We start from the raw sequence: 26,729 nt of genomic DNA on the forward strand, positions 1-26,729 counted from the left end.
TGTCCTGAAGTGAAGAAAAGGGGCAGCTAGTTGGTTACCTTCCCACATGTATTTCCCCTAATCAAATAAGCTGAATTCAAGAAGTTGGGGAATAATAAAATTTGAGGCTATGTATTTCTCATCACATTTAGAGGCTGGGCATGGTAGCTTACACCTGTAATCCTAGCACTTTGGGAGGTTGAAGTGGGAGGACAGCCTGAGCCTTAGGAGTTCAAGAACAGCCTGAGCAACATATCAAGACTCCATTTCTAAAAAAATTGTTTTCAATTAGCTGAGTGCGGTGGTGTGCACCTGTGGTCCCAGCCCCTAGTGAGGGTGAGCTAGTGTGAAGCTAGCTTTCCGCAAAAAAAAAAAAAAAAAGAAAAATTTTTAACCATATACATAGTTGCAGTCTTCTGTTGATTGGGGTTTTAATTATTATTATTATTCTCCTTAGATTTATCTTCAGTGTTTGAAAATAACATATTGCCTCCAGGTTCTTAGGCTTAGCCATCTTAAGACCTTATACAGTAAGTCTTCACTTAATGTCATTGATAGGTTCTTGCGACTTTATGCGAAACATAAGACAAGGTCTAGTTCTGTCATCCAGACCGGAGTACAGTGGCACTATCTTGGCTCACTCATCTTCCTGGGCTCAAGCAGTCCTCCCACCTGAGCCTCCTGAGTAGCTGGGACCACAGGCTTGTACCACCATGCCTGGCTAATTTTTAATTTTTTGTAGAGATGGGTTTTCACCGTGTTGCCCAGGTGTGTCTCTTGGGCTCAGGCGATCTGCTGGTCTTGGCCTCCCAAAGTGATGGGATTGCAGGCGTGAGCCATTGCACCTGGCCATTTTTTTTTCCTCATCAACATTATAATGAAATCATGTTGAAGGAAACAACGTTATGCCAAGATATGCCATGCCTTGTTTTTGCTTAAAGCCAGTTTCCAAGCACCTATGGATGTTAAATGAGAACTTGCGGTACTTTAAACTTGGACAATTTGTGCATTCCTGTCTTACACAGACAGGGTAATGTTGATTTAGTTAGGCTTTATTTAAGGATGGTTGTAGGCCAGGTGCGGCAGCTCATGCCTGTAATCCTAGCACTTCGAGAAGCCGAGGCGGACGGATCACTTGAGGTCAGGAGTTCGAGACCAGCCTGGCCAACATGACAAAACCCCGTGTCTACTAAAAACACAAAAATTAGCCAGGCATGGTGGCGCGCGCCTGTAGTCCCAGCTACTCTGAGGCAAGAGAATTGCTTTAACCCAGGAGTCGGATGTTGAAGTGGGCTGAGATTGCACCATTGCATTCCAGCCTGGGTGACAGAGCAAGACTCCCATCTCAAAAAAAAAAAAAAAAAAAAGATGTAATCCAGTGATTGTCACCTATAGAAATGAGATTAAGCCCCAAAAGAGGGCCTGCTTATATGAGTTTCTGATTTTTACAGTCCTCATTCATGGTGCTAGTGCAGGACAATAGCATTTCCTTGAGATTCATTAGCATCTCTGGCTTCATATACTGGGTTTCCTCTTGCAGATTTGAAGAACCCAAGTGATTCAGCAGTGCACAGCCCCTTTACAAAGCGCCAGGCTTTTACCCCATCTTCAACCATGATGGAGGTGTTCCTTCAGGAGAAGTCACCTGCAGTGGCTACCTCCACAGCTGCACCTCCACCTCCGTCTTCTCCTCTGCCAAGCAAATCCACATCGGCTCCACAGATGTCGCCTGGATCTTCAGACAACCAGTCCTCTAGCCCTCAGCCGGCTCAGCAGAAACTGAAACAGCAGAAGAAAAAAGCCTCCTTGACTTCTAAGGTACTTAAACTTTTAGGTAGATACCATTTTATGGCAAGGGGTGTGGGGCTTGAGAATTGAGATTAAAAGGGTAAGTTTGGAAATTTAAAGGGAAGGGTTTTTTTTAGTCTTTAGTAAGGTTGTATTAAAGCCATTACTTTCTCTTCTCCTTCAACTTTATAGATTCCTGCTCTGGCTGTGGAGATGCCTGGCTCAGCAGATATCTCAGGGCTAAACCTGCAGTTTGGGGCATTGCAGTTTGGGTCAGAGCCTGTCCTTTCTGATTATGAGTCCACCCCCACCACGAGCGCCTCTTCAAGCCAGGCTCCAAGTAGCCTGTATACCAGCACGGCCAGGTAGAGGAAACATTAACCATAAGACCTCTCTTATTAACCTTTACTACTTTTTTAATCTGTGGGAGATTTCTAGAACTCTGGAGAGGCCAAGCCCCTCTGCATGGCTGAGGGGGAAAGTAGTCAGTCATAGCATTTTTAGTGCTTTAAAATATTGTTATTAGGGTTATCTGTAACTAAACAGGTAGAAATATGCCCCTTAGGGGCTGGGTGTGATGGCTGACACTTATAATCCCAGCACTTTGGGTGGCCAAGGCAGGAGGATTGCTTGAGGCCAGGAGTTCAAGACCAGCCTGGGCAACATAATGAGTCCCTGTCTCTACAAAAAAAATTTTTTTTTAAACACAGAGTTTCACTCTGTTGCTTAGGCTGGAATGCAGTGGTGCGATCTCGGCTTACTGCAACCTCTGCCACCCGGGTTCAAGCGATTCTCCTGCCTCAGCCTCCCGAGTAGCTGGGATTACAGGTGCCCACCACCATAACCAGCAAATTTTTGTATTTTTTAGTAGAGATGGTGTTTTACCATGTTGGCCAGGCTGGTCTAGAACTCATGACCTCAAGCGATCTACCCACCTCGGCCTCCCAAAGTGCTGGGATTACAGGGGTGAGCAACCGTGCCCAGCCCAGATTTTTTTTTTTTTTTTTTTTTTAGATGGAGTTTTGCTCTGTTGCCAGGCTGGAGTGCAGTGGTGTGATCTCGGCTCACTGTAACCTCTGCCTCCCAGGTTCTAGCAATTCTCCTGCCTCAGCTTCCTGAGTAGCTGAGATTACTGGAATGTGCCACCACATCCGGCTAATTTTTGTATTTTTAGTAGAGACAGGGTTTCACCATGTTGGCCAGGCTGGTCTTGAACTCCTGACCTCGGGTGATCTGCCCTCCTCGGCCTCCCAAAGGACTGGGATTACAGTCATGAGGCACCACGCCTGGCTCAGAGTTTTGCTCTTGTTGCCCAGGCTGAAGTGCAATGGTGCAATCTCCGCTCACTGCAACCTCTGCCTCCCAGGTTTAAGCAATTCTCCTGCCTCAGCCTCCCTAGTAGCTGGAATTACAGGCATGCACCACCATGCCCAGCTAATTTTGTATTTTTAGTAGACATGGGGTTTCACCATGTTGTTCAGGCCAGTCTTGAACTCCTGAATGGAGATGATCTGCCCACCTTGGCCTCCAAAAGTGCTGGGATTACAGGCGTGAGCCACCACACCCGGCCCAAATCTTATATGGTTCTTGAGGGAGCCTAGAATTCAGAATTCTCTAAAATGAGTGTGAACAAAAGATGGCTTTTCCTGTGCTTAGGGTCCATGTTATAATGTATAGAAGGGGCCAAGAGTAATGTATCCTGTATACCGACATTTAGCCACTTTTTTATTTTGAGACAGAGTCTTGCTCTTGTCACACAGGCTGGAGTGCAATGGCACGATCTCAGCTCACTGCAACCTCTGCCTCCCAGGTTCAAGTGATTCTCCTGCCTCAGCCTCCTGAGTAGCTGGGATTACAGGCGCCCACCACCATGCCTGGCTATTTTTTGTATTTTTAGTAGAGACAAGGTTTCGCCATGTTGGCCAGGCTGGTCTCGATCTCCTGACCTTGTAATCTGCCCACCTTGGCTTCCCAAAGTGCTGGGATTACAGGCATGAGCCACGGCTTCCGGGTCCACTTTTTCTTATAACAGCAAAATGTAGGGGGGAGCCAAGGGACTTTTCTCTTCCTTGAAGACTTGAAGATGTTTTTAAGATTTTTTTTTTTTTTTTTTTGAGATGGAGTCTCGCTCTGTCACCCAGGCTGGAGTGCAGTGGCTTGATCTCGGCTCACTGCAAGCTGCGCCTCCCGGGTTCATGCCAGTCTCCTGCCTACTCCCAAGTAGCTGGGACTACAGGTGCCCGCCACCATGCCCGGCTAATTTTTTTGTATTTTTAGTAGAGACCATGTTAGCCAGGATGGTCTTGATCTCCTGACCTCGTGATCCGCCCGCCTCGACCTTCCAAAGTGCTGGGATTACAGGCGTGAGCCACTGCGCCCGGCCTAGATGTTTTTTTAAGATTAATTCTTAATTCAGATCTCTGGCGCTATAGAAGGTAGGGATTCCTAGTGTTATCAGGAGGAAATTTTGGTAGATTCTTCTATTTGTTGCTGAAAAATTTCTTCTTGATTCAAATCAAGTTATTCCACTAGTAGATCTCCACGATTTCCTTAGTATGAGTAGATATGCTCTATTTTGTTTCTCTGAGATTTTTCTCTTCGTTACTCACAGTGAATCATCCTCTACAATTTCATCTAACCAGAGTCAGGAGTCTGGTTATCAGAGCGGCCCAATTCAGTCGACAACCTATACCTCCCAAAATAATGCTCAGGGCCCTCTTTATGAACAGAGATCCACACAGACTCGGCGGTACCCCAGCTCCATCTCTTCATCACCCCAAAAGGACCTGACTCAGGCAAAGGTAGTGGCTTCATGAACCCTTGGGAATTGGTTAGGAGAATAGTGGGCAAAAATTCCTTAAATATTAGTGTTTTACTTTTCAGCAAGTGGTGCTAAGAAACTTTGGAAGTAGTGATTGAGAATTTGAAAAAGGCACACATCTGTGGCTAGTGAATTAAAAGTTCTTATCAGCAAACCCGGAGACTGAAGAGCCAGGAAACCATTCTCTTTGTACTAAAAATTCATTGCCTCTAGTAGAATCAGTCTCAAGTGCCTGTCCTGTCTTCTGGGAAGATGTGATTGCCAGATTTCTGGGTGCGTGTCAGTAGACCTCACCTTGCTAAGTCCTGGCATGGTGAGGGAGACAGCATGTGCCAGAGGTGATGTGGAGTGAGTGTCAGATGCAGCCAGCGGAATAGGTGGTGTGGCTGAACTGTTGTACTTACCCTTCCCCAAAAATCACTGGATGTGGACTTTGGGCCTTTCCTCTATCTGTTTTAGGTTTGGGGTGTCTTCAACAATTTGTAGGGTTTCCTTCTTTTGCTTTTGGTCACACAGTGTTGGTATATCTCAGTTTTGTTGTTTAATTTTTGTTCCTATTTTGGTTTTTTGGATAGTCTACATTGTATTAATATTAATCCTTTTGGTTAATTTACAGAGTTTCTCCTAAAGATTTGTTGACCAAAATAAAGCTGCATCAGTGCTAACTTTCCTCATTCACATGAGTTTGTCTGTTTCTTGCTCTTCTGTTTTTTTTTTTTTTACCAGAATGGCTTCAGTTCTGTGCAGGCCACGCAGTTACAGACCACACAATCTGTTGAAGGTGAGTGTTCTTCAGGCTTTTCCCCTCCTAAGTTTCTGGTTTTCTATCTTAAAATGGTGATAATCCATTAGTTCCCTTCACTGGACAATTGAGACCCATGCTGTGTAATTCTCAGCATTAAAGAAAAAAGATTCTACCTAATATAGTCCATTGTTAAATAACTCATCCTTTTGTCTTTGGAACTGCCTTGGACTGTGGTCACCTCTCTATAGACATTCCCTTTTTTCTGATGAGAGGAATTCCTTTCTTCTAAATTTCTAGGTGCTACAGGCTCTGCAGTGAAATCTGATTCACCTTCCACTTCTAGCATCCCCCCTCTCAATGAAACGGTATCTGCAGCTTCCTTACTGACGACAACCAATCAGCATTCATCCTCCTTGGGTGGCTTGAGCCACAGTGAGGAGATTCCAAATACTACCACCACACAACACAGCAGGTGATTTGGGGTGAGGATGGAGGTTGGGGTTGGTGAATAGCAATAACAGAGCTCTCTGGTCCTTATTACTCCCTTGACCTGGCAGAGACCACATTAGCCCTGCTTTTGTCGTAAGTGGGTGACCTAAGAACTGTGGGAAGTGAAGACAGAGGAGGCTTGTTTTAATTTTCCCCTTTCAACATCCACTTTTGCTTTAACTGCTCTCTACCCCTGGCTGGCCATTGTGCTTAACATATGATCTCAGACCTCCTTGGTGTCCCATATTATGTCTTATTTCCTTGTTATGTTCTTGACTGAAGCTCCAGGTCACGTAACTATAGCACTATGGCTGATGGCAGCCTCTTTTTTTCTGACAGCACGTTATCTACGCAGCAGAATACCCTTTCATCATCAACATCTTCTGGGCGCACTTCGACATCCACTCTTTTGGTAAGTGTGATGCTGAGAGGGATGTGTGGTTTTCTTACACTTAGAACTGTCCAACTGTAAGATTGTCCCAAGAGAGAATTATTGAAAATTTCTTCATGAGGTGGCAAAATAATTGATTTGAGGTTGCAGGAAAAGGAGTAAAGGGATGTTAGGAAGCCAAGAGAGGCAGAAGAATCCCTAAACATTGAGCTCTGGGTCATTCCTAAAAGCCCTGAAAGTGACTTTCTGATTTTTTTCCCCTACTGAATATATAGTTGGGCTTTGTATGCTTTAATAAATTCTGGAAGAACATACCTTTCCAACTGGTAGAGCTGTTCTCTTTCCTTGGTCTTGGGTATGCCCAAGTTCTGAAAAGAATCAGTGCAAGGCTGGACATTTTTGTGAAAGTAGATGCCAGGTGAGAGCTTTTGGTCCAAGAGTCAATTTTATTGTTTTGATTTGTAACAACTATTAATAGAATTAAGCTGAGCCTGTAAAGGGAAGGACCCATTTTGGACAAAAGTATCAGATTTGCCGGAAGCCTGGGGAGGTATGAGGGCTAAGGCTCCTTTAGGAGTCTCTATTCAAATACACAGTTTCAGATTTAAAGTCAGAATTGTGGACAGGTGCAGTGGCTCACCTCTGTAATCCCAACACTTTGGGAGGCCAAGGCAGGAGGATTGCTTGAGCCCAGGAGTTTGAGACCAACCTGAGCAATATAGTGAGACCTCATCTCCATAAAAATTTTTTGAAGATTGGCCAAGCATGGTGGTACATTCGTAGAGTCCTAGCTACTCGGGAGGCTGAAGTGGAAGGACTGTTTGAGCCCAGGAGGCCAGGGTTGCAGTGAGCCAAGATTGCACCACTGCACCCCAGCCTGGGCAACAGGATGGGACCCTGTCTCAAAAAAAATGTAAAATCAGAATTTTTGCTTTTTCCTAGTCCACAAACTGGTCTCAACTAGTAAAGAAAAGTTGGGGAGAGAAAGCTGTGATATATTTTTTACATCTCAACTCTCTCTGTTCCTTTATCAGCCAGTGTTAGTCTCTGGGGAATCTGTCTCCATTTGCTTTACTGTCTTTCTGAACAGGATGATGATGTGCAGTGAGTCTGTTACCATTCTTGCCAGATGAGTCTTGAGGAATATGTAGCTGGAGATTATTTCTAACTACTTTAGCAGGGTGTACTTTGGTACCTTGCCTACTTGGCCTCTTTAATTAGGAAGTTGACATCATAATATATTCAGCAGGAGGGATTGTCTTATTTTTCCTGACCTATGATGCTGATCTCTTTTCTTCTTCTCTCTTCCACTGCTCCCCCTTTTGAAGCACACAAGTGTGGAGAGTGAGGCGAATCTCCATTCTTCCTCCAGCACTTTTTCCACCACATCCAGCACAGTCTCTGCACCTCCCCCAGTGGTCAGTGTCTCCTCCAGTCTCAATAGTGGCAGTAGCCTGGGCCTCAGCCTAGGCAGCAACTCCACTGTCACAGCCTCGACTCGAAGCTCAGTTGCTACGACTTCAGGTAGCCTTGCATAAGCAGATGGCATTCCTCTGGGATGGAGGAGGTAAGTAATTGTGTGATGGGATAAAAATGTAATTTCTCTTTTAGGAAAAGCTCCTCCCAACCTCCCTCCTGGGGTCCCGCCGTTGTTGCCTAATCCGTATATTATGGCTCCAGGGCTGTTACATGCCTACCCGGTAAGTGGGACTAAAGGATCTTCTTCAAAAGGTGAGGATGTTGTGGCTACTCTTTTTATAGCTCTGGCTTCAGATGGACCCCTGTGAATACCAAAACTTGCACATACTCAAGCCCTGCAGTTGGCTCTGTGGAATCCATGTATATGAGTTTTGCATTCTGTAAATGTGGCCGTATTTTTGATCTGTGTGTCTGGTTGGAAAAAATTCATATATAAACAGCGTGCAGTTCAAACCTGTGTTAAGGGTCAACTGTAATTAAAATATAAAATAAATGAGGGATTGCCACATGTAATCAAACTGGTTTTTAATCTTTGCAGTTTTGGAAAAAATACTAAACTGAGGCCAACCCATCTATTGTGTATCTGCTTTGGTTTATGGTGCACACATGTATGCATGTGTGTGTGTGCGTACAATGTGTATGTATATGTGTGATGAGAATATCTGCCCTGTTTGAAACACAGCTTCTGGGCCTCAGAAGCCAAAGGCCAGAATGTTCATCTGGAATCCTTTTTGGTTTCTTAGATAATTATGACTATTATTTTATTTTTTGAGGCAGATCTTGCTCTTTTACCCAGGTTGGAGTACAGTGGAACGATCATAGCTAGCTCACTGCAGCCTTGAACTCCTGGGCTCAAGCAATCCTCTCACCTCAGACTCCCCAAGTAGCTAGGACTACAGGTGTGCATCCCCATGCCTGGCTAAGTTTTAAAAATTTTTTTAGAGACAGGGTCTTCCTATGTTGCCTAGGCTGGTCTCAAAATCCCAGGTTCAGACAGTCCTCCTGCCTCAGCCTCTCAAATAACTGGGGTTATATATAGGCCTGAGCCACTACTCCTGGCCCCAAGAATTATTTTCTCTGATTTGATTAAATCCCTAACTCTGAGTGTGTTTGCTGGTCTGGCCTGGTTAGAGGAAAGTTTCCTGACTCAATCTGGGACTTTGAGAATAAGTGGCTGACATTAGTAGCTTTTTGCCCTAGTGTATCTTCTGTGACCTTCAAGTATTTGGTACCTATTAAGATGAAGGATATATGGAAACGTTTTAGAAGATACCTGTTCCTGCCCTCATAGACAAAGTCTAGATAAATTTCATACCGATGACACATCCAAATAACACAGTTACACATTTTTAATTTGTGGTCACTACCTTAAAACCCTGACATTGGAGAAAAGTGAAGTATTCTTTCCAGAGGAGATTATTTTTAAGCCAGATTTTGAAGAGTATAAGAGACAGAGACTTGTAGAATAGAGAGTAAAACTGGTTGTTCGTGTATGTTTTGTGTCTACTCTATTGGTATCAAGAAGCCAGCCTACTAGAATCAGTAGTATTTAGCTCAAGGAAAGCTTCAAGACCTTTCATGAATCATTTAATCTCTGTGTACTTTACTGCTTTTTCCTTAAATAAAATTGAAGGAAATAATCCGTGTCCTGTTCTAACCCAGAATGAGGATGAATGTTCTGTTGAATTAGCTTGTCTCTTGGCTCCTTGTTTTGCTAACATCATGACCAGTTCCTGTTATTGCTATATGTCTGTATCTTTCAGCCACAAGTATATGGTTATGATGACTTGCAGATGCTTCAGACAAGATTTCCATTGGTGAGTATGTGGGATAGAGCTTTGGAAAAGAAAGTAGTCTTAAAATTAGTGTTGGGAGAATTATCTCCGTCACAGACATAGCTCTTTCCCATCCCAGCCCTCCATACACTCTGATTTAAGGCATATTAGAATATAGGGATTTGGGGGAGGGTTTCCAACAGAAGATAACTTTTTTTTTTGAGACAGAGTCTTTCTCTGTCGCTCAAGCTGGAGTGCAGTGGTGTGATCTTGGCTCATTGCAACCTCCGCCGCCTGGGTTAAAGCAATTGTCTGCCTCAGCCTTCCGAGTAGCTGGGATTAAAGGTGCCCACCACCACCCCCAGCTAATTTTTTTTGTATTTTTAGTAGAGGCGGGGTTTCACCATCTTGGCCAAGCTGGTCTTGAACTCCTGACCTTATGATCCACCCGCCTCTGCCTCCCTAAGTGCTGAGCTTATAGGCATGAGCCGCCGCACCCAGCCTTTTTTTTTTCTTTTTTTAAATCAGAGTTGTGGCATCTTAGTAAATACATTTTAACCTATTCTATAGCCCAGTAAAGTACTCTGGAGCACTCAGGGTGCTTTCTGTTTGTCCCAGACACTTTAAATTATCGAATGATCTGTTTTCTCAGTAGAATAAGCTTGGTATAAACTGATAGGGATGACACCTAGAGGGTTGAAAATATTGGTCCTCGTGGACTTTGATGTATTCTCAAGTGGGCATACCCGTAGACCTTGTCTGACTGTGCTCATGGCCAGGCAGGGGGGACAGTGTATGCAAGAGTAATGTGGAGTTTGTGCTAACTCTAGCCAGCTTAATTAGTGACTGGATAAATTGCACAACTCTCACATTCTTCTGTTTTTTCCTCCGTGGAAATAGTACTCATGCTGGGGAATGAGTGACATTGAATCTCTGCTCTTTTTTCCCCTCTTTTCTAGGATTACTACAGCATCCCATTTCCCACACCCACTACTCCGCTGACTGGGAGGGATGGTAGCCTGGCCAGCAACCCTTATTCTGGTAGGATTGGGATGGGACTAAATAAATAAAAAGGGAGATAGTGTTGGGATTGATGGCAGACACCTGATTGGTAGCAAGAAGGGATGTGATAAATCAGGATTGGTAGATTCAAAATCCTGCTAAAGTTGGGCATGTCATGGCTTTTCCTATTCATCCCACTTTGTGTTGTCTCCCTGTGATTTCTAGATGATATCTTAGCCAGGCATGGTAGCACACACTTGTAGTCTCAGCTACTTGGGAGGCCAAGGTGGGAGAATTGCTTGAGCCCAGGAGTTCAAGACCAGCCTGGGCAACATAGCAAGACCCCATCTCCAAAAAAAGTGATATCTTGACTTAGTTTCAAGCCATTTGCTAGCTTTTTCCAGGAAATACAGTGGTTGAGGTGGTCTTCTCTGCTCATCTCTGCCCCTTTATGCTACTACTCACAGTGGCAATCTCACTGCCTTGCCACTCCTTCTTTTACCTGACCTATCATTGTCCTCATTGACTTACCGTTTTCCCTGATCCATCGTTGTCCTTCAAGTCCAGCATGGGGTATTCCCCATGGAGGAGAAGAGGGGAGGGAAGAAGAGGGAAGATGAAAGAGAACACAAGTGGGCAGAGAAATTGTGCAGGTGCCTTATTCCAAGAGCCTCCTGCCATAGCATTGCACAGTTATTCAACATTAGTCCTTGACTTGCAGCAACTGTGCTAAGTGTATGCTGAGCAACAATAATTGGAGCCACTAAGAAATGTAATTCAAGGAATTGAACTTTAATAGTCTTTGAACAGGATCTCCTGGAATCATGTGAAATCAGAAGAGGTAATTCTGTATTGGTATTGGGGTGAAAGAGGCAGGTACATTTAGCTTCTCCTGTCACAGGTGACCTCACAAAGTTCGGCCGTGGGGATGCCTCCTCCCCAGCCCCGGCCACAACCTTGGCCCAACCCCAACAGAACCAGACGCAGACTCACCATACCACGCAGCAGACATTCCTGAACCCGGCGCTGCCTCCTGGCTACAGTTACACCAGCCTGCCATACTATACAGGGGTCCCGGGCCTCCCCAGCACCTTCCAGTATGGGCCTGCTGTGTTCCCTGTGAGTACCTGGCTTTGGTCACTCCTTGTGGTGAAGGATCCTAGCCCTGGACACTATCCTAGCTGCTTTTAAGGGTCAATGACTTTAATAATGGATGAGGAGGAACAGTTTCCACCTCTGGCCTGTTTTTGGCCTGATGCAGGGTGGTGGGGGAATGGGGCTGGAATTGGTGGAATTAGGATAGGGATTGCCTAGTCTTAGAATTTGCCAAAGGGAGAATATGATACCATACAGCTTTGCTTCACTCAGATTCATTCATTCCCTGCTGCCATTGTCCCTTTTTCTTCCTCCAAACTACCATTTCTTGACTTCATTAGTAGATTCTAGAACAGTTAGTAAGGAGCTAATTTCACTAAGCAAACTGTAGTCAACTTGCATCAGGATAGGTAGCCATCTGAATGGCCAGTACCTGGAGCAGGACAAGTGGGACAGATGGTATTCTGCTGCCAAGTCACTGCAAATCTGGCCTTTTTGCTCTTTAGGTGGCTCCTACCTCTTCCAAGCAGCATGGTGTGAATGTCAGTGTGAATGCATCGGCCACCCCTTTCCAACAGCCGAGTGGATATGGGTCTCATGGATACAACACTGGTAAGCTGACCTTGTCTCTGGCTCGGTGTTATCTGTGGGGTGTTATTGGATAAATTTCAGGGAGGAAGACTTGGTGCTTGAGAAAATGGGATTGGTGAGGGTGTGCCGCTGCCCCAGGTATGATTGTTAATGCTTGGCTGACTTGGGTATCTGTGGGAGCAGCACCAACAGAGGAGCTTGATACTAGGACATGTGTCCACTATTTGTGACGGGAATGCCCAAGAGTATGTGTTGGTTTTTAGAATATGTTGGTTGGCCAAAAGTGTGGGTGGAAGTAGGGCAAGGAGCCCCAAGATTTTGCTGAAATGTCAGTGGAGGCAAGTGTTAATAGTATGTATGGCACTGATAGTACAAAAGGGGGGTGTATTCACTGAGTAGAAGGATTAAATGGGTTCATAGCTAGCAGCCTACGATAGGTTTGGCTTAAATCACTTTGTAGCACTACTTTTCTTATGTGTCCTTTTTTATTCCCTAGCTAGAAGACCTAAACTGTGGAGAAAAAGGAGTAGGCGTGACCATACTTAATAGAGTGGGAATTGGACTGGGAGAGTTGGGCCTTTAGGTTCCTTCATTTGTATGGCTGGTCTCTTTGCAAGTCTTTTTGCATATGTGATGGCAGGGAGGGAATTGTAGGAATCCTCTGGATGGGTACTTACCTAAAAGATACTCAGCCTCTCCCTTGCTTCCATACCTGACATCTGTGCTCTACTTTTGGAGGACAGGGAGTGAGAAGGAATCTTTGAATAATATAATTGTACCTTTTCAGCGACTTGTAGATGAATAGGGGAGGAGTAGGTTTCTCTGATTGCTTAGGGTTGGGGATGGGGGTTGTCCTTCAAAGCTGTCAGCTCAGTTACAGTTTCATGGTGATTTGGATAGAGCAGCATGTGTTTTTCACCCTTATGTGGGCTCTGGGTGGGTCAGTTGCCCACAGTTTTCAATAATTGGGAAGAGCACAGAAGGCAGTAAGGGCTAGGAACTGATAGCCAAGTGGAGCTTTGAACTGTGCTGCATGAGTTAGAGTGGGTCATGAGTTAAATTAAACAAATCCTGAGAAGCCCCATTGAGATTTAATACATAGACTCCTTGTGGCCACCCCTGTCATTGAGCAAGGTTCACCCTAAATCTTGGTGGGGAGGATTATAAGCCTTTTGACTTGGAGTGGTGGCCCCTTTCTGAGGACATTAGGTTGAAGTCTTAGTTGGACCAGGTTCACGAATTTTAAGAGGTAGGTGATGGATAATATAAGAGAATTGGCATACCTGATTCTAGAAATCCCACCTTCTTGCCTCCCTTCAGAATTCAGAAACGTATTATATCAGCCCTTGAGAACCCCCAGTTCCCAACCCCACAAAGGGCTTTTGTCATTCCATTCATTTATTTTTATGTATTTGATTCCTTTTAGGAAGAAAATATCCACCCCCTTACAAGCATTTCTGGACGGCTGAGAGCTAATTTGGCCCAAGGCTGGGGGCTGTGTTTTGTGTGTGTGTATAAATTTGCACTGAAGTCTTGTTTCAGAAACCAGACCACTGAGGAGAGCCTGCTGAGCTGAGGCCATGGCCTGCGTGGCTTGGGGAAATGAGTTGGTGGATACCTTCTGGGCTTTTGAACTTGCCCCTCCCCCATTTCCCTCTCCCCCATGTGTCTGACCCTGTCTTACCCATTTCAAGTTCAAGCGGTGCAGCACCTTCGAAGCATCAATGCACACACCTGCTGTTGCTTTTGATTTCTGGAAGGCATGTAGTTTCAACTTGTAACAAAAATATTTGTAGTCTTCAATAAACTGTGGTATTTCTTTAGCTAACTCTGGCGTTCTTTCCGTGCATGTCTTTGTGGACACTAGGAACCAATGCTGTGCTGTGGATGAAGGGTGGAGGGTGGCCTTTTTAATCAAACCCCAGCATAGCCAAAGAACTATTAATTTTTCAGTATGGTGGTTTTATGAAGGTGGGGGGAGGGGAAACAGCCTCAGTTTCCCACCTGTTGATTAGTTGGTAAAGGAAACTATTTGTAGAAATACCTGATTCTCCATGCTTATGTTGCTTCATTTTTCCATTTAGATCTTTCCTTTGCCTCTTACATAAGCAGTGGGGGAAAGGACAAAAAAGTTTGGAGTGTCATGTCATGGTGAAAGGCAAAAGAGAGAGTTTTCAGAGCTGTTAGAGAAGTATCTTTCAAGGCTTAATTCCCACATCTATCTGGTTCCTAAAGGCCAAGTGGCTAAGATCTGATAAAGTCATTAGTGATAAGCTAGTTGATGACTCAGGCTCTGTGGCGACTGTGCTATCCTGGAACATTGTTCTTAGTCCCTTGATGGCTTTTCAGAGATCGTGGATTACCAGTTTTGCATTTGTGGGTATAAGCTAAGGATGTGCAGGAGCGGTTTGGTCAGATATCTCCTTGACTATGGAAATTCTAATTCCCTCCCAGTCCAGCTAGCATACAACATTAGCCCTTTGTTTATAAAGTTAACGTGGACAGTGAGATCACCACCCTGGGTGAATTAGAAACCAAAGTATTCAGCTTTCCTTGTATTTGTTCCCAGCCCTTTGGAGTAATTTTGCTCTGTGGAGTGTGACCACCTTTCCCAGGGGCTGCCATGGTGGGAGAGATAGATTCATGTGTCTCTGCCCTGCTGCCCACGTGATTCTGGTATTGTCACTGTTTGGGGATAAGTAGGGGGTGTTGATGTTGGAAGGAAAGCAAGAGAACTCTGTAGTCTGAAGATCTTCCTAATAACTGGTGAGGGGTAGTGAAATCAGTACCCATTATTTTCTAGGTCTCTAATACTGTAATTGAGATTATTATGGCTACTACAGAGTATTATGGTTCCTGCATTCTCAGTCCCTTCAACCTCATATCAAAGATAAGGCCTCTGGACTAGAAGCTGTTTTTAGCCTAAACTCTGGAAAGAATGAGATCAGGTAGGGGCACACTGGAGCTGAATTCCTCCCTACCACTCGGCTTGAGAATCCAGTTAGTCATTTCTTCCATCCAATATAGGCAGCCTAGCCTCACTGCAGAAGGTGACCAACTATGCTATTTTTTATTTTTTTATTTTTTTTTTGCCTTTGCAGTAAAGATAAATTCTCTCTTTTGGTTTGACTTAAAAATGTTCTACTTATATCCTGTTTATTCCACCTTTACTCTCCACCCTTCCACATGAACTTACTAGCTTAAGCCTTTTCCATAACTGAACTTCCTATTCTTAAAAGTTATGCCTGTTACTCAGTGATTTGCCAGATGGGCACCTCGGGTTTGAAAAGGGAATGGAAAAAATACCCCATTAGCCCTTTAAGATACTCCTGTATCGTTCCCTTCTTTTACTTCAGTGTCTTTAGACAGTTGATGCTTCGGAGATGAGGAAGTATTTTCTCTTGCTTGGTTTTCTGTAGTTCCGTTATTTTTCCTAGTTAGTGTTTGCCCCTCCCAGGAACTATCTGGACTTAGGATGTTGGGAAGGTTTTCCAGATTAAGATACCACTTCAAAAGTGACTGTTCAAGGTGGGCTTAACTTTGGAAGGCTGCCTTTGTCTGAGGCATTGGGAGGATTTAGGTTCTAGAGTTTGAATTGTGGGTGAATGGAGGATTCCTTATTTGTGATTTGGCCACTCTAGTACACTGCTTCTAAAACTCTTTTCCATCAGTGTTCCTGATAGCAGAGGAGAAGGAAATGTGTACCTCTGATGGGAAGGATCCAAGGGCATAGACAGGCAAAGTTTTTCTGAAGCTTTGTTTTATTTTTATAAAAACTAATATATCTTTTTAAAATCATGCTTTATATTCCTAGTTAAATTACTTACTTTTCTTCACATCTTTGTTTCAAAATGGAAAGTATAAAAGATGTTAGGTTATTTATTTCATGGCTTTTCCTATCTTCTTGACCCGATGCCTTATACCCCAGGTGATGGAATATAGTATGAGTATTTATTTGTTTGAGGAGTACAAATTAGAATGACATGTTGTACTACTCTGGTTTCTTTAAAGTTGTAGTGGTTAGTAGGGAGTTTTTTTCAACAGGAAATATGAGAGTTGGGGTATGAGAGCTTTTATCTTACGGAGAAGCTGAAGTTGTATACTGAAAATGACGTGGTTTTTGTGTTCCACCTAGGCTATAGGAGATGGCCTACTCCTGTCTACCTATCCCTCCCCACCCCGCTACACTTAGGCTTAAATTGTGTACATGGAAATTGATCTTGATACTAGACCTTTACATCTTAAGTTTGAAGATTTAGCCTAGATGCTCCAAGACTAAAGAAGCTGGACTAATTGAGCTGAGGCTCTGAGAATGAGAGTGCCCTTGGGGATTAAAGTGGACTGCTCCTCTAGTACTTATGCAGTGGAGGCATGGATTTTGAGCCCAGAAATGTCACTTCAGGAAGAGAGAGGGCCAGACTGCCCCAGTCTCCAGGAATAAAACTGAGTGGCATTTGGGTGGATTGATTTGAAATGGACATTAAAATTAAAAGTTTATTATATTCCTGCTAGACTTTGGCACAGAAGTGTTTTGAAAACAGTGTATGCTAGTGAGGTTTGGTCATATCCCCTTGCCCACCAAAAAACAACTTACCTCACTCTCTCTCACGTATACTCAACACGTACCTGGGAAGGGCCAAAGAACCCTTAGGGAGCTTTTGTTTCATGAACTCTTACCTCTCAGGACTAACTTGAAGCTGGAAAACCGACCAAAATTCCCTTGCATTGGTATAGCTAGAAAGGCTACAGATATCACCTCATCTCAGGAATAAGGGCCAGGTAGCTAGCTGAGCTAATCCTCCTGTCTGTTTCCTCCTCCCCCAGGTGTTTCAGTCACCTCCAGTAACACGGGCGTGCCAGATATCTCGGGTTCTGTGTACTCCAAAACCCAGGTAGGTGCCTGGCTCTGGATAAAAGTGGAAAAGAGATAGACATAGAGGAGGTGGAGTTGCAATGGTAGAAATAACAGTGGACAAGAAGAACCCTAGGAGAGGTGGCAGGAAACCCATCCTACTTTTTCTAAATGAAAGGTCTTCTCTAGACTTCACTTCCTCTAAGAAGTTAAAATTTAGCCCTCTGAGAAAAAAAACGAGAAACGTAATAGGAAGGTAAAGCGTGGCAAATTGTTTATCGTGTCATGTAATTTACTGTGCAACTCTCCTGGCCCCTTTTCCTACCTACTCCCAACCTTTTTCATAACTTTTCAAGAGAATAAGTATGAGAGTGACAGGAAACTAGTTCATTCCATTCTTTGAGTAAATCTATAACAGTGGGAGTGGGAAAGGAGACGACCTAGTAACTAATGAAGCATTTGAGTGATCCACAGGTTTGTTATGTTGCTTTTATCCCCCATCACCATAAATACTTAAAGTTTGCTATAAAGCACTGGGGGTCTGGGGGGGCACTTCATGCACAAGACCTTCAGCACTTCAAATATCTCAGTATGTGTTTATTTCTTTTGAAATATCCAACGAGTTTTTTTTTTTTTTTTTTTTTTGAGATGGAGTCTTGCCTTGTCACCCAGGCTAGAGTGCAGTGGTGTGATCTCGGCTCACTGCAAACTCTGCCTCCTGGGTTTAAGCGGTTCTCCTGCCTCAGCCTCCTGAGTAGCTGGGATTACAGGTGCCCACCACCGCGCCTGCTAATTTTTGTATTTTTTAGTAGAGACGGGGTTTCACCATCTTGGCTAGGCTGGTCTCGAACTCCTGACATCATGATCTGCCCACCTTGGCCTCCCAAAGTGCTAGATTACAGGCGTGAGCCACTGCACCCAGCGGAGTTACTATTTTTGTAAGGAATATTGGAAGGGGTAGGGACACTATTGGTTTGCCTTTTTTTTTTTTTTTGGAGACAGTCTCAAGAAGTCACCCAGGCTGGAGTGCAGTGGTGGAATCTCAGCCTTCTGAGTAGCTGGGGCTATAGGTGTACACCACCAGGCCTGCCTAATTTTTGTATTTTTGTTTTTTGTTTGTTTTGTATTTTGTATTTTTGTTTTTTGGTAGATACAGGGTTTTGCCATGTTGCCCAGGCTCGTCTCGAACTCCTGGGCTCAAGCAATCCACCCGCCTTAGCCTCCCAAAAGTGCTGGGATTACAGATGTGAGCCATCATGCCCAGCCTGGAGTTCTAAGTTCGGATTTCATGATGTTCACATATGACATTCAGTTTTACAAAGTGCTTCCACATTCCATCCTCTTATTTGGTCTTTTTTTTTTTTTTTTTTTTTTTTTTGAGACGGAGTTTCATTCTTGTTGCCCAGGCTGGAGTGTAATGGTGCGATCTGGGCTCACCATAACCTCCGCCTCTCGGGTTCAAGCGATTCTCCTGCCTCAGCCTCCCAAGTAGCTGGGATTACAGGCATGTGCCACCATGCCCGGGTAATTTTGTGTTTTTAGTAGAGACGGGGTTTCTTCATGTTTGTCAGGCTGGTCTCAAACTCCTGACCTCAGGTGATCCGCCTGCATTGGCCTCCCAAAATGCTGGGATTACAGGCATGGGCCACTGCGCCCAGCCTTTTTTTTTCTTTTTTTTCTTGAGATGGAGTCTCCCTCTGTCTCCCAGGCTGGAGTGCAGTGGCACAGTCTTGACTCACTGCAACCTCCACCTCCCAGGTTCAAGTGATTCTCCTGCCTCAGACTCCCAAGTAGCTGGATTACAGGCGCCCGCCACCATGCCCGGCTAATTTTTGTATTTTTAGTAGAGACGGGGTTTCACCATATTGGCCAGACTGGTCTTAAACTCCTGACCTTGTGTGATCCACCCATCTTGGCCTCCCAAAGTGCTGGGATTACAGATGTGAGCCACCATGCCCAGCCTATTTGGTCTTTACAACAGGTTTGTAGCATCCCTGTTTTATATCTGAGGAAACTGAGGCTAAGAGATTGAGTAGTATGCCCAGGTTCACACAGTTCTTAAATAAGAGCAGAGCTGAGACTGAGACCTGAATATGTGACTTCAAGTGTACTGTGCCTTCTGTGACACCATGCTGCTTTCTGAGGGTCAGGGAGCTTGAGCTCAGGAAAAATCCCAAGACTAGTTTGCTGATCCCTTTTACTCTGTCTCCTCCTGGCCTCCTGGATAGCAGTCCTTTGAGAAACAAGGTTTTCATTCCGGTACTCCTGCTGCTTCCTTCAACTTGCCTTCAGCCCTAGGAAGTGGGGGCCCCATCAATCCGGCCACAGCTGCTGCCTACCCACCTGCCCCCTTTATGCACATTCTGACCCCCCATCAGCAGCCGCATTCTCAGATCCTTCACCATCACCTGCAGCAGGATGGCCAGGTAATAGCCCTTCCCCTTCTCTCCTTTCCCTTCCTCTTCCTTCCTATCCCTTAAAACTGCCTTCCCTTTCCTTTTCTTACCCTTCCTCACCACCACCTTCACCCAATCCCTCCCCAGCGCCAGTCATGGGCACACAGCACATACAGACACAAGCGCACATAACACGAGCGGCCGGCAAAGGAAATCTCAGAGAAGGGCCGGGTTGAAACCTTTTTTGCCCAATTCCTTTGGTGCCCTTCTCCTCCTGTGCCACAGTTGTCCTCATCCCATCAGACCTGGGTCACACCTTCCCTCTTTCCTCTCCCAGCCTTCCCTCTTCCCTGACATTTTAGCTTTCCCTTCTAATGGTGGAGTTCTATTGTCAAAGTTTGTCCCTTTATTTTCCATATATCCTGGTTCTGCCTCAGCTACCATATTTGCAGATGATTCTCTGTTGCCAGCGCCAGCAGGAGGAGCAGGTAATGAAATTGAATGATCATATGCTTGAACCCACTCCTTTTCAGTCCCCATTTCACCTTCACAGCCTCAGGGAACTTGAAAAGACTGCGCGGTCACAAATCGGGATACACAAACACAAACACCTTGCTGAGCTCTCTGGCCTCCCCTTCCTCTCTCCTCCTCCCCTCCCCAACACCCTCTTTATCTTTGTACCCTTCCCCAGCTGTGGAAAACATTCGGTTACCAGAATGGAAAAGATTCTTGGGGCAGCATCTGGAGCCTGAGGCCTCAGACTGCCTCTCATACCTGCCTGAAATGGGCTCACAGATGTGATGTGTGGTAGGGGTGGGGATCTGTGGGGCGATGCAAGTGGCCTCTTGAGAGCTCCATTATAGGTGGCTGGAGCTAGAATAAGGGCTTCCTTCCTCAAAGACAGCTTTCCAAATTGAGGCATTAATGGGGATCAATGGAAATGAAATTGCCTTGTGATCACCCATCTCCAAGAGCAGGGGAGAGAGGGGGTAGTGTGAGAATGTAGAATTGAAAATGAGTAGAACTCACTCACTACCTTGTCTCTAAAGGTATCTTGCCCTCTTCATCTTTTCCCTATTTAAAAGTCAAAAATGCCTTCCTGCTTGTAAGAAAGGGGCTTTAGCAGCTATGCAGACCAAATTTTCTATGGTTCTAATAGTAGTGAGGGGAATGGGAGAGCAAGACAGTTTGCACATCTCCACCTGAAGATGTTACAAATTTGTACCACTAACTAGACACCTTTTTCCTCCTCATGATCCTCCCATTCCCCTGCAGACGGGCAGCGGGCAACGTAGCCAGACCAGCTCCATCCCGCAGAAGCCCCAGACCAACAAGTCTGCCTACAACAGCTACAGCTGGGGGGCCAACTGAGGCCCTGACCCTCTTCTCCCGGTCCCATCTTCTGAGAGGGCTTCTCAGCCTGGAAACTATGGAAACAGCATCAAAGAGAAAGGAATGTGGGGGGTTTCCGCTGCCCCCCACCCCCAGCGGCCCACCCCATGCCTCAGCTTCATGTCTGTCCCATTCCTATACCATCCCCACCCTGTTGTATGTATTATAGGATTTGTATTTTCTCCTTTTTTTTCCCCCTTCCATTCCTTCTCCCCTCTTGCATTCAAGATTATGAAACTTTGCTATGGGCCCTGCACTTCCTTTGCTTCCTCCTGTTCACCCTGGTGGTGTACGGATGAGGCGGGGAGGTGGGACCCCCAAACATATATCAGCCCAACAGCCCTAAGTCTCCTTCTTTATTATTAGGAAAACAACAACAACAACAAACAAAAAAATGGCGTCATGAATATGAACAGCATTGTCAGATGAATTAGTTGAAGTGGTTTTTTTTTTGTTTTTTTTTTTTTTTTGTACTGTGTCCTCAAATTTAATGGATTAATGTGTCTTGTATATATAAAAAGAAAACCTCTACCTTCAGCCTCTGCCTATTCTTGCTCCGTCTAGGACATCCTCAATTTCGTCGATGACCAGCTTGGTGAATAAGTATTACTGTACCAACTGGGCCTCCTCTAGCAGGCCCCTGAAGGCAGTGGAATAAAATGAAATCTTCGCCCTTTAAGAACTCCTGACCTTAATGTGGTAGTAGTATCTTGTCCTTGAGGGGATTTCCTTCCCCTCACCCCTAAGACTTTCACAACCTGGTGACTGGAAAGAACCACCACAAATCTTCATTTCCTCCAGAAACTGCTACATCTACAGCCGATTTCAGGCAGTAAAGGGAGAGGGATAGAGGAGATTGGGTGGAAAATGGAGAGGATCAAGAAGGAGCTGAGACCATTTCAAAGAAAAAAAATGCTTTATAGAGTTTTAAGTATGACTTAGATGGGTCCAGGCAAATAAACTAAAAAGAAGTGAAGGCAACATGTATCGTCTGGCAGAACTAAATCTTGGAGTGGGGTGAGGGATGAAAGACTACATATTGGGTACAGTGTACACTGCTCGGGTGATGGGTGCGCTAAAGTCGCAGAAATCACTAAAGAACTCATCCATGTAACCAAACACCACCTGTACCCCAAAAACGAAATAAAAAAACAAAACCTTGGGGCCCATTCCCCCTAGGAATGGACTACTGTAGTAGTGGCTTCTTGGATGCTTCTCTGTGACATAGCTATACCCAATTCTTTGAAAAAGAATCTAGAGCAAGGTCTGGCTTGGGGATGGGGTACAGGGAGAGACAGGTCTCGGAGAGGTTTTGAACAAAACACTTTTAAAAAGGAATGAGGACAGGCGCTTTGGGAGGCTGGGTTGGGCGGATCACCTTAGGTCAGGAGTTCGAGACCAGCCTGGTCAACATGGTGAAACCCCGTTTCTACAAAAAATACAAAAGTAGCCGGGCGTGGAGGCGCATGACTGTAATCCCAGCTACTCGGGAGGCTGAGACAGGAGAGAACCTGGGAGGCGAAGGTTGCAGTGAGCCGACATGGTGCCACTGCACTCCAGCCTGGGAAACATGAGAGAAAACTCTGTCTCAAAAAAAAAAAAAAAAAAAAAAAAAAAAAGATACCAAAGGGATATTTCTTTATAACCCCCAATTTGTTCCTTCTCAGGACTCAACTAGCTTCCCTTCCCTTGCTTTCTTAAAAATCCTTTGTCTTGCTGGTTGCAGAGCCTGCTTAGAAAAAAGAATTCTATATAGTTATAACAAACTCCCTAGTAGCTAGAGAGGTGGAGGAAGTTAAGTCCATGCGTCTCTTATGTCTTGATCTCTTCTCTGGGAAATTCAATACTAGAAGGAGCTTGGAAAAGCATTTTGTTCATCCCTCTAACAGCAGACATCGCCCAGGTCAGTCAAAAAGAACGCCCGAGTAAGGAGCGAGGTGGCTTCTGCTGTGAGGCTGGCCAGCCCCGCGGGTGGGGTGGTTGAGGGACGCCCTCAAGCCGGTCCATTTGTGCGGCTGGGCTGCCCTCTGGCGGCTTTATCCGGGTGCCATCCAGAGTCAAACCCTCGAAATCGCTTTTCGTACTGAGTTGGTCTGCAGAAAGAAGAACAGATTTAGGAGGAAGGCGGTCATAGGAAACTGAAAGTGCGTCACGCCCACTCCCGTCACGGAAACTGGTCTCTGAAAGGTGGGGTAAAGATAAAGCCTTTCAAATTTGAGGAAGACCTTCGGTCCCGCCTCCATTTCACGTCCGGCTTACCGTCGTTTACGACAGTGTCAGGATCGCGGGCTTGCTTTCCGGTAGCGTGGGCTGACGCCTCGCTCAATTTCTCACAGGGCTGCGCAGGTTTCCCCCGTCTGCGAATGGACCACTGGAGGGGTTCAAAGGTTCGCGTCCCAGTACGGGAATGAGCCTCTTTGATCTCTTCCGGGGCTTTTTCGGCTTTCCTGGACCTCGGAGGTGAGAGTAGGTCCGGCTCGGACAAGGGTGGGGGTCGTCTGAGGGGAGCTTGACCCCTACGTCTTATTTTTGGAAAAACATCCTCTGTCCCACTCCTTCAACTCCTGCAGAGAGGACAGAAGTCGCAACATTGAACACTCACCCCGCCACAGTAACCAAGGCGGTCATTAAGAGGAGAAACAGCAAACTAAGCCTTTCTCCAACCTGGGGTGATGCAACAGGGACCCGGGCGGGGAAGACCGTGAGGGTCTGGGGAATAAGACAGTGAGCAAGTGAGCAGGACCTTGGGAGAGAGAGGAGGGACTGGGGCACACTGAAGAAAAACTGGGGGAAGGTGTATGAAGGGAGCTGCGAGCTGAGGTCTGACTTTGATTAAAAAAAAAAAAAAAAAAAAAGAACTGTCAGCCATTGTATTAATGTTTTGATGTGGCAGCCAGTCCTCCGACCCTCTCCCTAGCTTCCCAGACCCCTTGCTCTTGTCCCACTTTGCCACCCATGAGTTGATTTAATGGCTTAAATAGTGCTGAAATATTGGTGGCCAATCTGCCTCCACTCTCAGCCACAGAGATCCCTTTTTTGGAGGGATGACTCGAGATGAAGATGATGATGAGGAAGAAGAAGAAGAAGGGGGCTCATGGGGCCGTGGGAACCCAAGGTTCCATAGTCCTCAGCACCCCCCTGAGGAATTTGGCTTCGGCTTCAGCTTCAGCCCAGGAGGAGGGATACGTTTCCACGATAACTTCGGCTTTGATGACCTAGTACGAGATTTCAATAGCATCTTCAGCGATATGGGGGCCTGGACCTTGCCTTCCCATCCTCCTGGTGTGTGGCTTTCCCTAAGGGGCAACCTGTGGTTTCTGGTGGGTTGGTGGGTGAAATAAAGAGCCTGCAGGGAGTAGCTGGGGGATGGGAAGTGTGAGAAGACTGATGATTTCAGAGAGATTAATAGAGCCCAAGTCCTTTCCCATCCCAGCAAACACCTGCCACCTTTCTGCAGAACTTCCAGGTCCTGAGTCAGAGACACCTGGTGAGAGACTACGGGAGGGACAGACACTTCGGGACTCAATGCTTAAGTATCCAGATAGTCACCAGCCCAGGATCTTTGGGGGGGTCTTGGAGAGTGATGCAAGAAGTGAATCCCCCCAACCAGCACCAGACTGGGGCTCCCAGAGGCCATTTCATAGGGTGAGTATCCCATCTGGTCCTGAAGTGAGAGCTTGTGAGAGACCACTAATAAAGTGCAAAGACTGGCTAGGTGCGGTGGCTCACGCCTGTAATCCCAGCACTTTGGGAGGCCGAGGTGGGCAGATCACCAGAGGTCAGGAGTTGGAGACCAGCCTGGTCAACATGGTGAAACCCCGTGTCTACTAAAAATACAAAAAATTAGCCGGGCATGGTGGCAGGTGCCTGTAATGCCAGCTACTCAGGAGGCTGAGGCAGGAGAATTGGTTGAACCCAGGAGGTGGAGACTCCATCTCAAAAATTGTTTGAGACCCAGCCTTGCTCTGTTGCCCAGGCTGTAGTGCCGTGGCACAATCTCAGCTCACTGCAACCTCCAATTCCCAGGTTCAAGTGATTCTCCTGCCTCAGCCTCCTGAGTAGCTGGGATTACAGTCGCCTGCCAAACGCCCAGCTAATTTTTGTGTTTTTAGTAGAGATGGCGTTTCACCGTGTTGGCCAGGCTGCTTTTGAGCTCCTGACCTCAGGTGATCCACCCACCTCGGCCTCCCAAAGTGCTGGAATTACAAGTGTGAGCCATCATGCCTGGCCAAAGATTGCAATTCTTGTTTGAATCTGATAGCCTTGGGTTGGAATCCTAAGCCCTCCATTTAGTGTTTTCTGTTTTCTATATTAAGCTTGTGGGATTTTCTTTGGGGGGAGATGGGTGTTCTGTTTCTTTTAAAAAACAAAAACAAAAAAACACCACTGGTCTAGATAATTCTTGGATAAGGCAGGATTGTGCACAGAGGATAGGAATATATCAGTTCAGGAAGTCTTTCTGGTAGAAGGATACATAAAACAGCCAGGAAGGAGTGTGTAAATAAGGCTATTCTGAATGGAATTATCTCTTCTGTGGAAGGGGGTTTTGGAGCTCGGGAGTAGTTTGAGGTCTATGACCTTTCAAATTTCAGATTGGAAGGAGTCTTTTCACTTACTATGGTTTCTTCTGCAGTTTGATGATGTATGGCCTATGGACCCCCATCCTAGAACCAGAGAGGACAATGGTAAGTCTGGAGGAAGGGGAAGTTTACCAGCCTTTTGTTATTCTTCTGAAGTTCTGTGTGTTCTCCCTCCCTGAAGTTTCTTCCTGTACACTTGTCTCCTTTTTTCCTTTGGACTCTTTCTCTCCTGCTTCTTCATCTCTCTGCTCTTCCAGATCTTGATTCCCAGGTTTCCCAGGAGGGTCTTGGCCCGGTTCTACAGCCCCAGCCCAAATCCTATTTCAAGAGCATCTCTGTGACCAAGATCACTAAACCAGATGGGGTGAGTTGAAAGAAAGAGGTAAAGGAAAGTATGGCCAGGGAACGAATGCCCTGAAACAGGGATCTGTGTAAAGAAACTGCTGAGCATAACCTTTAGTAACATTCGGAATATGGTGGGGACTTCTCTTTGTAGATAGTGGAGGAGCGCCGGACTGTGGTGGACAGTGAGGGCCGGACAGAGACTACAGTAACCCGACACGAAGCAGATAGCAGTCCTAGGGGTGGTAAGTTAAAAGACAAAGGGGTTCATCTCAAGATTCCTTGGGGAAGGGAAATCTTACTCTTCTACCCTTGTCCTTTGCTTCTGCCTAGTCTCTTTCATTTAGCCTATTTACGTGTATGACTTTCTTCCTTAGATCCAGAATCACCAAGACCTCCAGCCCTGGATGATGCCTTTTCCATCCTGGACTTATTCCTGGGACGTTGGTTCCGGTCCCGGTAGCCTTGTTAACCCTCAGAGGCCTTCAAGTCCTTTCCACCTCTCACCCATTGCCCACCATTAATAAGCTTAGCTTCTCTTGCCACCTCAGGGGCTTGGATATGTGGAATAGTGAACTGGGGCCATGTCAGTTTGTCACTCACCCAAACTGACCAATAAAACCTTTATTTATGCTAATTTTTTGTCTTGGTTTTGTCAAGGCTATTTCAGTTTCTAGAACCATCCAACACTTCCGAAATTATCTTGGTCCTCTGCCTTCTCCTTATTCCTTAATTTTTTATTCTGCATCTAAAACCTGATTTCATAAGTAAGGGTCAGGCACAAGTAGAAAATGATTTTTCTTTCTCAAGCAAGAAAAAAAAAAAAAGAGGCCGGGCTCGTTGGCTCATGCCTGTAATCCCAGCACTTTGGGAGGCTGAGACAGGCAGATAACCTGAGGTCAGGAGTTCAAGACCAGCCTGGCCAATGTGGTGAAACTCTGTCTCTACTAAAAATACAAAAATTAGCTGGGCATGGTGGCGGGTGCCTGTAATCCCAGGCTAGGGCAGGAGA

At 45.6% G+C, this 26,729-nt stretch overlaps 2 protein-coding genes and 1 non-coding gene across 55 annotated transcripts in view, besides 2 other annotated features; all 3 read left to right on the top strand.

The window, feature by feature from the left end:
• Positions 1-21,989, top strand: part of UBAP2L (ubiquitin associated protein 2 like) — a 51,339-nt gene extending 29,350 nt beyond the window's left edge. For 7 of the 52 annotated variants that reach the window (XM_047435827.1, XM_011510215.4, XM_017002972.3 and 4 more), the window contains exons 13-28: positions 1,520-1,797; positions 1,960-2,132; positions 4,379-4,568; positions 5,315-5,369; positions 5,631-5,805; positions 6,162-6,234; positions 7,542-7,737; positions 7,825-7,913; positions 9,456-9,509; positions 10,427-10,508; positions 11,371-11,588; positions 12,071-12,176; positions 16,980-17,047; positions 19,239-19,433; positions 19,841-19,891; positions 20,679-21,326. In XM_047435827.1, coding sequence (XP_047291783.1) covers positions 1,520-1,797; positions 1,960-2,132; positions 4,379-4,568; positions 5,315-5,369; positions 5,631-5,805; positions 6,162-6,234; positions 7,542-7,737; positions 7,825-7,913; positions 9,456-9,509; positions 10,427-10,508; positions 11,371-11,588; positions 12,071-12,176; positions 16,980-17,047; positions 19,239-19,433; positions 19,841-19,891; positions 20,679-20,774 — 2,099 coding nt within the window. In that variant the 3' untranslated portion in view covers positions 20,775-21,326. Of the gene's footprint in view, positions 1-1,519; positions 1,798-1,959; positions 2,133-4,378; positions 4,569-5,314; positions 5,370-5,630; positions 5,806-6,161; positions 6,235-7,541; positions 7,738-7,824; positions 7,914-9,455; positions 9,510-10,426; positions 10,509-11,370; positions 11,589-12,070; positions 12,177-13,581; positions 13,985-16,979; positions 17,048-19,235; positions 19,434-19,840; positions 19,892-20,678; positions 21,327-21,359 lie in introns of those variants that run through there. The other 45 variants (NM_001127320.3, XM_005245673.5, XM_047435898.1 and 42 more) reach the window with 9 other exon arrangements.
• SNORA58B (small nucleolar RNA, H/ACA box 58B) lies at positions 10,206-10,341 on the top strand. Its single transcript, NR_145714.1, has one exon. It is a non-coding gene; the product is annotated as a small nucleolar RNA, H/ACA box 58B (small nucleolar RNA).
• Positions 22,724-22,864: a silencer, noted in NCBI's record as "fragment chr1:154244721-154244861 (GRCh37/hg19 assembly coordinates)". NCBI's record gives its function as "represses an EF-1alpha promoter that drives an FKBP-Casp9 reporter gene in an ReSE screen in HepG2 liver carcinoma cells {active_cell/tissue: HepG2}" and the evidence as "EXISTENCE:reporter gene assay evidence [ECO:0000049][PMID:32094911]".
• Positions 23,002-23,171: an enhancer, noted in NCBI's record as "active region_1775". NCBI's record gives its function as "activates an Ori minimal core promoter by ATAC-STARR-seq in GM12878 lymphoblastoid cells {active_cell/tissue: GM12878}" and the evidence as "EXISTENCE:reporter gene assay evidence [ECO:0000049][PMID:35858748]".
• Positions 23,108-26,354, top strand: HAX1 (HCLS1 associated protein X-1). 2 transcript variants are annotated; one of them, NM_006118.4, is made up of 7 exons: positions 23,108-23,255; positions 23,815-24,077; positions 24,253-24,440; positions 25,429-25,480; positions 25,633-25,739; positions 25,872-25,962; positions 26,095-26,354. In NM_006118.4, the coding sequence occupies exons 1-7, from the start codon at positions 23,203-23,205 to the stop codon at positions 26,178-26,180; spliced, it is 840 nt and encodes a 279-aa protein (NP_006109.2). In that variant the 5' UTR covers positions 23,108-23,202; the 3' UTR covers positions 26,181-26,354. The 2 variants fall into 2 exon arrangements, with proteins under 2 accessions (NP_006109.2, NP_001018238.1); NM_001018837.2 differs by having other exon boundaries at positions 23,959-24,077.

The sequence above is a fragment of the Homo sapiens genome, chromosome 1, assembly GCF_000001405.40.
Source record: "Homo sapiens chromosome 1, GRCh38.p14 Primary Assembly".
Classification (NCBI taxonomy): Eukaryota; Metazoa; Chordata; class Mammalia; order Primates; family Hominidae; genus Homo; species Homo sapiens.

Coding starts and splice junctions, on each gene's coding strand:
- HAX1 (NM_006118.4), top strand. CDS start 23,203: ATGAGCCTCTTTGATCTCTTCCGGGGCTTTTTCGGCTTTCCTGGACCT. Junction 25,740..25,871: donor AGATCACTAAACCAGATGGG/GTGAGTTGAAAG, acceptor TTCTCTTTGTAG/ATAGTGGAGGAGCGCCGGAC. Junction 25,963..26,094: donor AGATAGCAGTCCTAGGGGTG/GTAAGTTAAAAG, acceptor TTTCTTCCTTAG/ATCCAGAATCACCAAGACCT.